Below are 13,108 nucleotides of genomic sequence, written 5' to 3'. Positions count from 1 at the left end.
CAGGCTAAGGGAGAAGAAGGAGGAATGGAGGGTGAAAGGTTGCCCACAGTGAAGGAGGCCAGTTTAAAGAGAAGGGTAGAGACACGGAGAAGGGGGGTAGGGAGCAGCCGTGGGCTGCAATGTGGGTGAGCAGCCAAAGCAGGTTGTCCCCGCAATTGACTTGCCACCAAGGGAATGTGGGTGAATGACCAAGGCAGGCATCCCCACAGTGATTAGACACCAGTGGAGTGTGGGTGAATAATCAGGCAGGCGTCCCTGCAGTCATTAAACACCAGGGGAAGACTGTCTTGCCGAGTCCGTGACTGGCGCCGGAGTTTTGGGTCCACGGATAAAATATGTCTCCTTTGTCTCTACTAGAGAGGAAAAAGAACTGGAATTGGAAGGACAGGGAGACTGAAGGGTAGCGAGAGAGGCTGGAGAAGAGAGTGAAAAGACCACTTACCCGATTTGAAATTCATGAGATGTTCCTTGGGCTGGTTGGTCTGAGAACCCGAGGTTGTACGTGGATCTCCTCATGGAGTGAGGATGAGGACAGGGGACCGGTCTCTGTAAGGAGTACTCCCGTCCCGGATCTTTGGTACCAAATGTCACGCACGTCACACGCATCCGTGTGAAGAGACCACCAAACAGGCTTTGTGTGAGCAACAAGGCTGTTTATTTCACCTGGGTGCAGGCGGGCTGAGTCCAAAAAGAGAGTCAGCAAAGTGTGGTGGGATTATCATTAGTTCTTGTAGGTTTGGGATAGGCGGTGGAGTTAGGAGCAATGTTTTGCAGGCAGGGGGTGGATCTCACAAAGTACATTCTCAAGGGTGGGATTACAAAGAATTACGAAGAACCTTCTTAAGGGTGGGAGAGATTACAAAGTACATTGATCAGTTAGGATGGGGCAGAAACAAATCACAATGGTGGAATGTCATCAGTTAAGGCTATTTTCACTTCCTTTGTGGATCTTCAGTTGCTTCAGGCCATCTGGATGTATACGTGCAGGTCCCTGGGGATATGATGGCTTAGCTTGGGCTCAGAGGCCTGACACTTGCACATAAACTGTTTTTTTTTTCTTTCAATAGTTTTACATTTAGGAGGCCTAGTTACTTTTAAATTATACAACATTTCTTGCATAATTTTTTATAACATTTTTCTCTTTCACGACTTTCGCAGACAATTCTTCGACATGCCTCAACTTTCTGACTTATTACAAACATTTCTTTCTTTAAACAACCAGTTAATTTATTTCAGGACAAGAATTTACCATATAACACTCTTTTTATGTAAATTCTGCCCCTTCTTTTTTTTTTTCCTGAAGATGATAACCATTCTTTTCCAAAGCGAACTTCTTTTATGTCTGTGGACTAGACTGTCTGAGGCCACAAGATCAGAAATTACTATAATACATGTTACACTGTTAACTTTTAGCAAACTTTACTTTTGTTGAAAACCTTGTAAGCTTGGGATTTTAATTATCCTTTGCTATTAGTAAGACCTCGTTTTGTCAAAATTAACTTAGAATTCGTATAGATGGCTTTTTTTTTTTCCTTTAATTACCTGGGAGGAACCATAGATCATCCTTTCCTGAAGGGAGTTCCTCCTAGGTATGGTAGGGCCTTTGTACGGTAATTAAGATTTAGATCCCCTGTTAGGAAACCTGCTGGGTTAAGGGAATTTTCAGTAGTTAAAGTTAAATCATCCTTTTTTTTTTTTCCTTAGGCTACTTCTGAACTGGTGAGGTGTGCTCACAATGAGGTTTCCTGTAAAAGTTATTTTTTTACTTTTTTCTGTTAGCAAAGCAGTTGCAGCTACAGATTGAATGCATTTGAGCCATCCACGGGTTACTGGGTTAAGGATTTTTGATGGGAAGGCCTCAGTGCTTTCGGGATATGCCCTTGTTTACACTGACAACAAAGTGGTATTGGAGTGTTACAGGGTTACAGAGAATACTTTCAATTATCAATTATAGGTTTTAAATTTATCTTGGCTTTTAAAGGAATAGGGTACAGTGTTGTTGTTGTTTCTAACTACTTGTATATATATCTCTTTTTTTCTTTTTTTCCTCTTGATTTTCTGTCTCTTTCTCTTTGACTTTCCTTTTGCCTCTGTCTCTTTCTCTCTCTCTCTCTGACTCCCTCTTTGTCTGTCTCTTCCTCTTTCTCTCTCTGCTGGTCTTTCCTTGCCTCTGCCAGCCACTTATGCTGCTGTTCTCTCAACCACTGTTGGGGCGGGCGGGTGGGGAGTCTAAAACCAGCTGTAACCAAGTGTCTGTGTACGGGAACTGGTGTGGGTACCCTGGCTTACAGGTTACCTTGTGCCATACCTTTGAAACAAGGGACCTGTCCAGGCTTCACTCTGATGGCCAACCTACCTCTAATGCTGGCCAGTCTATCTTACACAAAGTTTTAAGTTTTCCTGGTGTCATAGTACTCCATAGTCTCCCTTAAATCCTTTCCTGAAATTTTTCAGCATAGTTCCTAGTGGGGTGGTCTTACTTTGTGCTTGACCCATGCTTCTTCAAGACAAAACATTACGCTCACCCTACACGCATACCACAAAACAAAGAACAGGTAAAAAGGGCACACACACACTTTTACAGTTTACACCAAACCAAAATCAAAACCAAAATCAGAGTATCAGGATATCCAAGTCAGGTCAAAACCAAAACCAAAGTATCAAGCAATCCAAGTCAAGTCAAAAACAAAAACCAGAGTGCCAGTACAGGCACGCCGTGGGTGATCAGGCCACGCTTCCCCTCAAATGGAGTGGGCAAGTTCCAAAGACCAGTCTTACCAAGTTTCAGATGTCTGGACTCCAAGTGGCAGTTCCTTCCCGGTGTTCAGCCACTGCGTTGATCCTCCTCGGGGGCCTGCTACACACTGCTCTGGCCAGGCATTCCACTGGGGCAATTGCCTGCCTGAGAGCGCTCTCAGGATCCATGTCGCTCAAGCTGGCTGGAGTCCTCCACAGGGATGCTCCACAGGGCAGGCCTAAGCCGTCTGAGGGGCTGCCTCAACCATCCATTAATCACCTAGATTCCTGGTCAGGGAACCAAGAAATGTAGCAGGACAAGCTGCAGAGAAAACCCCTCAGACACGAGTTAAAGAAGGGCTTTATTCAGCCGGGCGCTTCGGCAAGACTCATGTCTCCAACAACTGAGCTCCCCGAGTGAGCAATTCCTGTCCCTTTTAAGGGCTCACAACTCTTAAGGGGTCTGCGTGAGAGGGTCGTGATTGATTGAGCAAGCAGGGGGTACGTGACTGGGGGCTGCATGCACCCGTAATTAGAACGGAACAGAACAGGACAGGGATTTTCACGGTGCTTTTCTATATAATGTCTGTAATCTATAGATAGCATCACTGATTAGGTCAGGCGTCGATCTTTAACTACCAGGCCCAGGGTGTGGTGCAGGCTGTCTGCTTGTGGATTTCATTTCTGCCTTTTAGTTTTTACTTCTCTCTTTGGAGGCAGAAATTGGGCGTAAGACAATATGTGGGGTGGTCTCCTCCCTTAAGAGCACTGACAGATATTTCACAGACGAGGAAACTGAAGCTTAGAGAGGTCGAGCCACTTGCCCATGGCTGTAGAACTGGCAAATGGGAGAGCCAGGACCCACATTCAGGCCTGTCTGGGCTGGGCTGTGTGTCAGCTTTGTTGGGTTCCAGAGTGGTCAGGGTGAAGGAGCCCTTGGATTTGGTAATTAGGAGTCACTCATGGACCTGTGGCGATGGGGCAAAGATCGTGGGTTCTGAGGAAGTGGCTGTCCTCTGGGTTGAGGTTCTGTTGCGCTTCAGGGCACAGGTAGCAGTGATCATGAAGGAATACTGGGGAAGGTAGGACCCTTATAGTAAGTTTAGGTGTGAGGGGAAGCACAGCAGGGCTGAAGGCGTTTTTTATGGGCTGTGGAGCACCTGAGCAGGGGCAGCCTGGTGGAGCACTTGCTGGACCCAGGGCCCCTCCAGTCTCTCCTGCTTCCCCCTGCTTTGGCCCCAGGTTGCTTTCGCATACACCCCCACCTCCTCAAAAGGGCTATCCCCAGCATATCCTGCAGAGAGGGTGATTAGGTGTGACTTCTGACCAAAGTTGCTCTGGTTGGGGGGGGGGGGTGGGGGGGAAATGCACTTTCCTGGCGCTTGTTTTTCCAGCTGGAAACGGGATTCGTAATGGTAATGGTTGAACTTAATGAACGTGATAGGATGAGAATAATGCAGAATGCAATATAAATGCTAATCATGGCTTGGATTGTTACTCAGCTCGAGGCTCAGGTTTTCTCCAGCCACCTCCCCAGTTATGCAACCTTCACACTTTATGTATCAAATCAGAGGTGTTTTCCTTCAGCACACTAGTGCCTGTGTGCATGGCTAGACTTGGGTGGCTTTACCTACTTGGCCCTGAGCTGACATTTTCTTCCCAATATTTATCACTGGAAGTTTGTTTCTAAATTGGAATTGCCTGAACATACAGGAGTAACTGAAATAGCTCAGGGCCGTCTCGGTTAACACATGCACAAAGTCTCATAACTATTCATGAAAGGCAAATAATTTGCACACACAATAAGGTCCTTATTTTATTTTTTTTTGAGACAGGGTCTCACTCTGTCACCCAGGTTGGAGTGCAGTGGTGCAATCATAGCTCACTGCAGCCTCAAACTCCCAGGCTCAAGCAATCCTCATACCTCAGCCTCCCAGGTAGCTGGGATTACAGGTGTGCACACCTAATTTTTTCAGTCAGGTCTCAAAGAGAAGGAGATAATGATCAGTTGTGAAGATTTTCAGGTAAATCACCACCAAGGTAGGGCTGAAAGCAGAAAGAACTCTGCAGCAGGGAACTGTCCAGGGAGGCGGGTATGAGTGGGAGTGAGGATGAATAAAGGGTTGGGAGGGGGAAGGTCAGGGTTGGTGATGAGGCATCCATGGCGGAAACGGGAACTGCAGGGTGAGGTGAGGCTGGCGCAGGGCAGACAAAGTGAGTCTTCCGGTGCAGGCCAGCATGCCTCCTCTTCTTGCTGTGGTTCTAGACCACAGGTTTCTCGCCTGGAAGAACCTTTCCTTTTTGGAAGAGAAAATGCAGTTTTCCCCCTGAAGGGGCATTTTTAGCACTCCAACGTCAGTGGGCTCCTGGAAGGGTTACTGTTTATCTCTTACCCCGCAAGTGGACTCAGGGGTGAAGTTAGTTAGCTCCTACCTGTACCCCGTTAGCTGCAGCCCCGCTGTGTCCAGTGAAGTCATTTCAGGCAGGGCATGGGGGACTCCTTCTGAGGCAGAGGTGTAAGCGTTTCAGTCCCAGATCGGCTACAGGGAGTGGCGCTCAGCTCCACTGTGGAGTCGCCAGGATGCTGTCATTTTGTCCAGAGGAAAAGTCCACCGTCTCACATGTGAAGGCAGAGCCTGTTTTCTGTGTGCACAGTCTGAACACACTACTTCATGGGTGCTTCTAAAGGACATTTCCACAAAGAACACAAACGATTCCCAAAAGCCTAGCTGATGTCTATGTGCCATAAATAGAAGCTCTGCCCCCAGAGAGAAGAGTTCTTTAGCAGCAAAACTCCAGTTTATTAAGACAGGTGTGACAAGTAAAATAAAATTCATTTTTTTTTTTTTTGCCTCTGCTAGGCCAGTATATTTCTGTACAAACAAGATAATGCAAGATTTGACAGTTAAGGCTTTGAAGCACAGCACACAAAATGAAACAATTTAAAACCCCTTCATAAAAATGGGAAAAATTCCCAGGCCAAAGGAAAAAAAAAGCCTTCACAGAAAGAGACTGACACTCGACTCCCCCCCTGCTGAGGTGTGGCCAGTGAGTCTGGGTGTGAGCTGCCACCTGACAGCCAGCTCTGAGGTATCAAAGGAGCTCCGAGTGCAAGTTGAAGACTTCAGCAAGCCAGCCCCCGGCCCCCACACCCGTTCATAGGCAGTCGGAATGCAGATCTCGGTGGCAGGTGGCTCTGCACAGTCCAGAGTGATAAAACAATCACAGATGACTAAATGCCAGGGACTGTGTGAAGTCAGTTACTGCCTGCAGTCTGGGTCACTCTGCCCTTCATCAGACACTGGTGGCACCATGACAGTGAGGAGAACGGAGCACAGTTCCTTCCGTGCCTCCTGCCGGCGCTGCTCAAGGTGTGCATGGCTGAGTCCTGGACAAGCATTTTGTATTTTTGTAGTTCTCACTCCTTAGGCCCAATTTCAAGTTAAGTCGTTAACTCATTTAGAATGAATATTAAGGATACTGCCTCTAACATATCAATAGCTGTGCTGAGCTGTCTAGGAAGAGAAATTAGTCCAGAGAGGTCCTAAGTATCAAAGCAGATTTTGTAAAGAAAAAAGGCAACACGTCAGTGAGAAAAGCAGCACAAGATCCGGGCTCGGGGACTCTTTTCCCTCTTTCCGAAACATAACTGGTTTTGTATGTGCTCTGAGTCCTAGTTTTTATGTCTTGGCTGAGAACCACAGAAAGGACTAGATATTCATACATGCGAGAGCACACTGAGACTGCATGTTTATTTGGCATAATGCTAGAAAAAAGTCCGCAAAGAACTGCCAGAACCAGGCCTGTGACCAAGTTTACAGTCATCTAGTTTCTCTCACAATTTCAAAATGTCAGATCAGAAGAATCTTTGGCGATTAATCCACTCTCCATTTTATGCGTGAGAAAACCAAGGCCCTGATGGTGTCCCTGGTCCAAGTCCAGTGCCTTTCACAATGAGGCTTTTGGCTCTTACCCTCTGAAGTGGGGCAGTGGCTCACTGTGAGGGGAGAGGGTCAGATCTTGTTAGTTTGATCTTAAGGCACTCACAAAATGCCCTGATTTTTCTTGTCTTTGTGAGAAGACAAAAAACAGTCTGGTAGTTTTTCACATCATCGTGGGAACCCAGAAATATATGTACAGTACTCAGAATTTAAGGGAATGGAAGAAAGAAGAAAATGAGATTCTCTTTTGTGAGTACAGAATTAGAAGAAAAAAAAAAAGAGGGGTGGGCAGTGCCAGAGGCGAACGGGCACAGGTCATTACTGCGTGTGTGGCTGAGCTACAAGTCTCCTGGAATGTAAACAATGTTGGTTTATTTCCAATTTCATCTAATCTTCATTGTCATCTCTCAATGAACAGTACTCATAAAATGATGAGAAAGTTTCAGAACATGTATGTACATGGTTCAGAAACAGCTCGGCTTTCAAAAAGCTGTCAGCTCAGGTAGCACGCCTTGGTCTTGAATTCGGTGCTACGCTGACAGCTCTCCTTCTGAATGCAAAGGCACCAGTCCATGATCAAGTCCACGCCGCAGACGAGGAGAGAGGAGTCTTCTCTCCAAAGTCATCCAAAGATAGCTGAGGAAATAATTCTATCTCATTTCTCGATTCCATTTCAGCACAGCAGCTGTTTTCCACACTGAGACACAGCTGGCGAGCAGTATCTCTTCTGGGAACTGAGATGCCATTTCAGGAAGAATTTCACTTTCTTTAGTTTGCATGTAACTTACGAGAGTGTCTCTCAGGCTGAAAAACCAAAGAAGAGAGCATTTAAAACAGTCTCCTCAGCATGGTGGCTCACGTGTGTAAGCCCAGCACTGTGTGGCTCACGTGTGTAAGCCCAGCACTGTGGGAGGCTGAGGTGGGTGGGTCAGTGGAGGTCAGGAGTTCAAGACCAGCCTGGGCAACATGGCGAAACCCTGTCTCTAGCAAAAATACAAAAATTAGCTGGGCACGTGGTGGTGTATGCCTATAGTCCGAAGCTACTCAGGAGGCTGAGGTGGGAGGACCACTTGAGTCCAGGAGGTGGAGGCTACAGCGAGCTGAGATTGCACAACTGCACTCCAGCCTGGGCCACAGTGAGATCCTGTCTCAAAAAAAAAGGCTCCCATATAACATAAGGGGACCAATCAGTCCCCTCATGTTACTTTTTCCCGTTGTCATCAGCAGAACCAAAATGCTCGTTAAGACTTAAAATCCTAGGCCAGGCGCAGTGGCTCACGCCTATAATCCTAGCACTTTGGGAGGCTGAGGCAGGTGGATCACTTGAAGTCAGGAGTTCGAGACCAGCCTAGCCAACATGGAGAAACCCTGTCTCTAGTAAAAATACAAAAATTAGCCAGGCATGGCGGTGGGTGCCTGTAATCCCAGCTACTCGGGAGGCTGAGGCAGGAAAATCACTTGAACCCAGGAGGTGGAGCTTGCAGTGAGCCGAGATTGCACCACTGCACTCCAGCCTGGGCGACAGAGCGAGAAAAAAAAAAAACCCAGAAATCCTGAGGAGCAGTTTAAGGTCAATGACCTGAGCTCCTGAACTGGGACTAGCATCCTGGGTTCAAGGCTCTGGTGCCTGACTGCTGCTTCCCACATGCAGTACACAAACACGACAGAAGCCCACGGAGCAAGCCCTGTGCTGGCCCCTTCACATGACTTTAGGCCCTCTAGCAAGGTGATGTTTATTTACAGGGTTGCATAAACAAGGCCTCACCATTCAAAAAACCTTGTATTCTATTACATGTTTCACATTAACAAAGACTGGAAATTCTCTAGGAAAGGGATCTTTTTTATCTACATGAAAAGCACAGGCTAGTAAAGACTTGTTGAAAAAGTTGAAAGAACATAAATGTATATGGTATATGCCACATAGCATAATGGAGGAAGATAGCAAATAGGAAACATATTGGTGAGGAAGACTGGAGTTTGATGATCTAGTCAGGAAAACATCAAGTTAAATCCTTACTTTACACCTAAACATAAACTGGTGAATAAAACAAGTATGTGAAAGCACAAGAAGAGAGAGGACAGGCCGGGCGCAGTGGCTCACGCCTGTAATCCTAGCACTTTGGGAGGCCGAGACGGGCAGATCACTTGAGGTCAGGAGATCGAGACCAGCCTGGTCAACATGGTGAAACCCGTCTCTACTAAAAGTACAAAAAAATTAGCCGGGCAGGTGCATGCCTGTAGTCCCAGCTACTCGGGAGGCTGAGGCAGGAGAATCGCTTGAACCCAGGAGGCAGAGGTTGCAGTGAGCTAAGATGACACCATTGCACTCTAGCCTGGATGACACAGCAAGACTCCATCTCAAAAAAAAAAAAAAAAAAAAAAAAAAAAGGCTAGTTTATAATCCTGGGATAAGGAAGATCCTAGTAAGTGTTTTTGTATAGAGACCCTTTATAGGAAAATTCTGTCAGATTTGACTTCATAAAATTAAAGGCTGAAATAGAGCACTGTGGCACACGGCAGAGAAGATGAACCCCTGTTCTATGCAAAGAGCTCTCACAACCATTACAGAGACAAAGCGCAAAAGAAAAAGATACGAAGAGGTAATTTAGGCTGGGTGTGGTGGCCAAAGCTTGTGAATCACTTGAGGTCAGGAGCTCGAGACCAGCCTGGCCACGTGGAGAAACCCCGTCTCTGTACTAAAATAGAAAAAATTAGCTGGGCGTGATGGTTGGCACCTGTAATCCCAGCTACTAGGGAGGCTAAGGCAGGAGAATCGATTGAACCCAGAAGGCAGCGGTTGCACTAAGCCAAGATTGCGCCACTGCACTCCAGCTTGGGTGGGAGTGAGACACGGTCTCAAAAAATAAAACATAAAGGCAATTCAGAGGATGATATACAAATGGGTGATAAATATAAAAAACATGTTCAGCCTCACGGTAAATGGGGAAATACAACTGAAAATGAGATACCATTTTGGCCTTTAGATTGGCAACTATGTAAAAGATGGATAATATCCAATGTTGAGTATTCTCATACACTCTTTATACATTGGTATAGCTTTTTCTATTCTTTTTTTTGTTTGTTTTTGAGATGAAGTCTCCCTCTGTTGCCCAGGCTGGAGTGCAGTGGTGCGATCTCAGCTCACTGCAATCTCCACCTCCCAGGTTAAAGCAATTCTCCTGCCTCAGCCTCCTGAGTAGGTGGGACTGCAGGTGTGTACCACCATGCCTGGCTAATTTTTGTATTTTTAGTAGAAACAGAGTTTCACCAGTTGGCCAGGCTGGTCTTGAACTCCTGACCTCAGGTGATCCACCCACCTCGGCCTCCCAAAGTGCTGGGATTACAGGGTAAGCCTCCACACCCGGCCTAGGATAGCTTTTTCTATCAAATTTAAAATGTACCTCTCTTTGACATAGTCTACTTGTTATAAAATTAGAATATATGACTTTTAGGCTGGGTGTAGTGGCTCACGCCTTTTCATTCTAGCACTTTGAGAGGCCAAAGCGGGCAGATCATTTCAGGCCAGGAGTTCGAGACCAGCCTGGCCAACACAGTGAAACTCTGTCTCTACTAAAAATACAAAAATTAGCCAGGCATGGTGGTACACGCCTGTAGTCCCAGCTATTTGGGAAGCTGAGGCATGAGACTCGCTTGAACCTGGGAGGCAGAGGTTGCAGTGAGCCAAGGTTGCAGTGAGTTGAGATTACTCCACTGCACTCCAGCCTGGGTAACAGGGCAAGACTCTTGTCTGAAAAACACTTGTGTAATTGCTTAAAGAAAACCCAGTAGAGATTAAAACCAAAAAGCCAGTCCTCAGGTGCCCTGGTAATGACAAAAAGCAGGAAATGGGATTCTGTGGTAAGAAAAGAACTATTTTTGTGTCTATAGAAGATCACAGGAGAGACAGCACAACATTGTGTCTGCCCCGCCCCATAGGTGTGCAAATCCATACCTCCACTGAGGGCGGAAGCGCTCCTCGGTTTGGGTTTGGGGGTTCTTTAGTTTCAAGATTATCATTTCGTGCAGCTCTAGCAGGAAGGCGTCTAGGCCAGTCTGATTTAGGAATGTGCTGAGGAGCTTAGCATTTTCCGGGCTCAGATCCGCTTTGTACCTTGAACTGATTTCCCCAAATGGCTCCTAAAACGACGGAAGAGCAAATGAAGCATTAAAGCCTGCAGGGAGAAGGGAGCGCAGTCCCTCTGTCCAGCAGAGAGGAAGAGACCAGACTTACTTTGTGCAGCCGCAGCAGCTGTTCAGACTTATGAGCAGACAGGAACTGCCAGAGGGCAATGGTGTGTTTTAACTGGCATCTGTTTAAGGCCTGCAGAAGGAATAGAATTCCTGAGTGGGGGCTGAGGTCTCACACCCCCACTCATGTCGTGCACCAGGGAGCCTGAGTGCTCTCCACACAGGCATTCTTCTCTTCGTTCTGCCCTGTACTAATGTGATCTCCCTCCTTGTGAAGGCCATCTCTGTCCTATCTACCAGTTCCCTCCTGCGGCACCTCACAGCCCGCTCACATCACGCTGTTTGCAGGGGCCTCATGTACTCAGTCACATTTGGGCTCTATCTAGACTGCTGGCATTTCTAGCGCGTGTCTGTCTCTACTGTCCCTGGTGTGTCCTGTTTATGCTGGACTGACTGGGTGAGCAGTTGTTCTTGTCTCCCCATCCTTTTCAGGAGCGCCTAGAGTGGCACTCCCTGAATGCTCCTATCCCTCGCGGGAAGCAGGAGACCAGGGTGAGGGGCTGTGCTGATTTCCTTTTCGGTGTGAGACCCACCTTTAACACGTGAATCGTCTGATCACCCATTTGCAGGATGTCTTGAGTATACACATTCAGCTGCATGTTTGGATCCCCACCAGCTGTGCTCAGAAACCCCAGAGTGACTTCTACGACAGACAGCACTTCACAGGCATCGCTGTAGGACTGCAGCTGTCCACTGATGGCACTAATGACCGAGCTGGGGAGGGAGTCCTGGGAAATGAAAAGCAGGAGAGGGATGTCTGTGGGCTGGGTTTCTGGCATCTCACCACCTGGTAAGAGAGCCGAGCCCCTTCACTGCCCAAGCCACATGCGGGGGGCCAACTCTCTAACAGCTGACACTTGGGCGCACGGTGTGCAGGCAGTTCCTGGAGGCCATGGAGACACACAGGTCTACCTATCAGTACCCGCATGCGGAGAGCAGGAACAAATCGGTTCCATGGACTTCCCGCTTCAGCAGGCATGGCCATGCATCAACATCATTCCTAAGAATCAAACCCACAAGATGTCAATCTGCTTTTACTCTACAAGAAAACTTGCTGATTTGCTGTCTTGCTTGCTCTCTGTAAGGGAGGCCGCAGAAACTGTGGGCTCACAGCAAACACCCGGGGCAAGGCTGGAGTAGGCCTAACACGGAGGGAAACACACTGAGAAGGCAGAAAGCCCCGTGCACAGGATCAGGTTTATCGGGATCACCTGTGCCATTTTGTTCTTGATGTCCATAAAGAGATGTTCATAGTTCCAGTCGTGTCTGTACACCAGAGTGGGTATTCCCTAAATTGGGAAAGAAAAAAGTTTTTTAAAATTAAATCCATCGTGGACATTTCCAGCAGATGACAAACAGAATCTGCAGCCGGAAAACTGCAGCGTAGTGCCGCGCTGCCCTGTGTATCCCTTGGCTAAGAGCGCCCCTCTCCGTCATTAACCCACCATCTATGGAAATAGTAACACAACCGGGAATCCAGCGGAGTCCTCACAGCCAATTACATGACAAGATATTGTCACATCATCGTGGCCTGCTTCGCCACAGGAGGCGCTAGGGCAACAGGTATTTGTGCATATCCCATTCATTTATTCATTCAGCCACTAAAGGCACAGACCATGCACAGGCAGTCACTCTGCCAGAGGAAATGGCTGTGAGAATGAATTAAAAACAGCCTTTGGGAGGCAGAGACGGGCAGATCACGAAGTCAAGAGATCGAGACCATCCTGGCTAACATGGTGAAACCCCGTCTCTACTAAAAATACAAAAAAATTAGCCGGGCATGGTGGCGGGCGCCTGTAGTCCCAGCTACTCGGGAGGCTGCGGCAGGAGAATGGCATGAGTGAACCCGGGAGGTGGAGCTTGCAGCAAGCTGAGATTGCGCCACTGCAATCCAGCCTGGGTGACAGAGCGAGACTCCGTCTCAAAAAAAAAAAAAAAAAAAAAAAATCCATGGGCTCTCACAGTTCCTGGCCCAGTTGCGGGTGGTACCGTACATAAGTACAGTAGATATGACTGCAGCTGGAAGGAACAAGTGCGTCCAGTCAAAGAACAGAGATGGGAAAGTGCCTGCTGTGTGGCTTCAGTGCATGAGGTCACGGGATGCAGTTCAGGGAAATGGGCTAAGTGGCTGGAGGCAGGGCTGGAAGGTTGGGCTGGGCCGAGCTACAGGGCCTCCCATACCA

At 47.5% G+C, this 13,108-nt stretch overlaps 1 protein-coding gene and 1 long non-coding RNA gene across 6 annotated transcripts in view, besides 3 other annotated features; one reads left to right on the top strand and one right to left on the bottom strand.

Moving 5' to 3' along the window:
- The window catches only part of RNF213-AS1 (RNF213 antisense RNA 1), a 63,339-nt gene that overhangs the window by 14,343 nt on the left and 35,888 nt on the right, over window positions 1-13,108 (top strand). The gene's annotated exons all lie outside the window — the stretch shown is intronic.
- The window catches only part of RNF213 (ring finger protein 213), a 137,943-nt gene continuing 126,866 nt past the window's right edge, over window positions 2,032-13,108 (bottom strand). For 3 of the 5 annotated variants that reach the window (NM_001256071.3, XM_047436482.1, XM_017024905.3), the window contains 5 exons: window positions 12,137-12,214; window positions 11,459-11,653; window positions 10,909-10,998; window positions 10,630-10,814; window positions 2,032-7,481 (listed from right to left, as the gene is read on the bottom strand). In NM_001256071.3, coding sequence (NP_001243000.2) covers window positions 7,328-7,481; window positions 10,630-10,814; window positions 10,909-10,998; window positions 11,459-11,653; window positions 12,137-12,214 — 702 coding nt within the window. In that variant the 3' untranslated portion in view covers window positions 2,032-7,327. The remainder of the gene's footprint in view (window positions 7,482-10,629; window positions 10,815-10,908; window positions 10,999-11,458; window positions 11,654-12,136; window positions 12,215-13,108) is intronic. The other 2 variants (NM_020914.5, NM_001410195.1) reach the window with 1 other exon arrangement.
- Window positions 2,396-2,902: an enhancer, noted in NCBI's record as "H3K4me1 hESC enhancer chr17:78371724-78372230 (GRCh37/hg19 assembly coordinates)". NCBI's record gives its function as "activates a minimal SCP1, AML or CMV promoter by ChIP-STARR-seq in naive H9 embryonic stem cells {active_cell/tissue: H9 hESC(naive)}" and the evidence as "EXISTENCE:reporter gene assay evidence [ECO:0000049][PMID:30033119]".
- Window positions 2,903-3,410: an enhancer, noted in NCBI's record as "H3K4me1 hESC enhancer chr17:78371216-78371723 (GRCh37/hg19 assembly coordinates)". NCBI's record gives its function as "activates a minimal SCP1, AML or CMV promoter by ChIP-STARR-seq in naive H9 embryonic stem cells {active_cell/tissue: H9 hESC(naive)}" and the evidence as "EXISTENCE:reporter gene assay evidence [ECO:0000049][PMID:30033119]".
- Window positions 5,056-5,557: an enhancer, noted in NCBI's record as "H3K4me1 hESC enhancer chr17:78369069-78369570 (GRCh37/hg19 assembly coordinates)". NCBI's record gives its function as "activates a minimal SCP1, AML or CMV promoter by ChIP-STARR-seq in primed H9 embryonic stem cells {active_cell/tissue: H9 hESC(primed)}" and the evidence as "EXISTENCE:reporter gene assay evidence [ECO:0000049][PMID:30033119]".

Source organism: Homo sapiens, chromosome 17, assembly GCF_000001405.40.
Source record: "Homo sapiens chromosome 17, GRCh38.p14 Primary Assembly".
Lineage (NCBI taxonomy): Eukaryota > Metazoa > Chordata > Mammalia > Primates > Hominidae > Homo > Homo sapiens.
The sequence above is the reverse complement of the archived record's forward strand: the minus strand, read 5'-3'. Positions and strand labels throughout refer to the sequence as shown.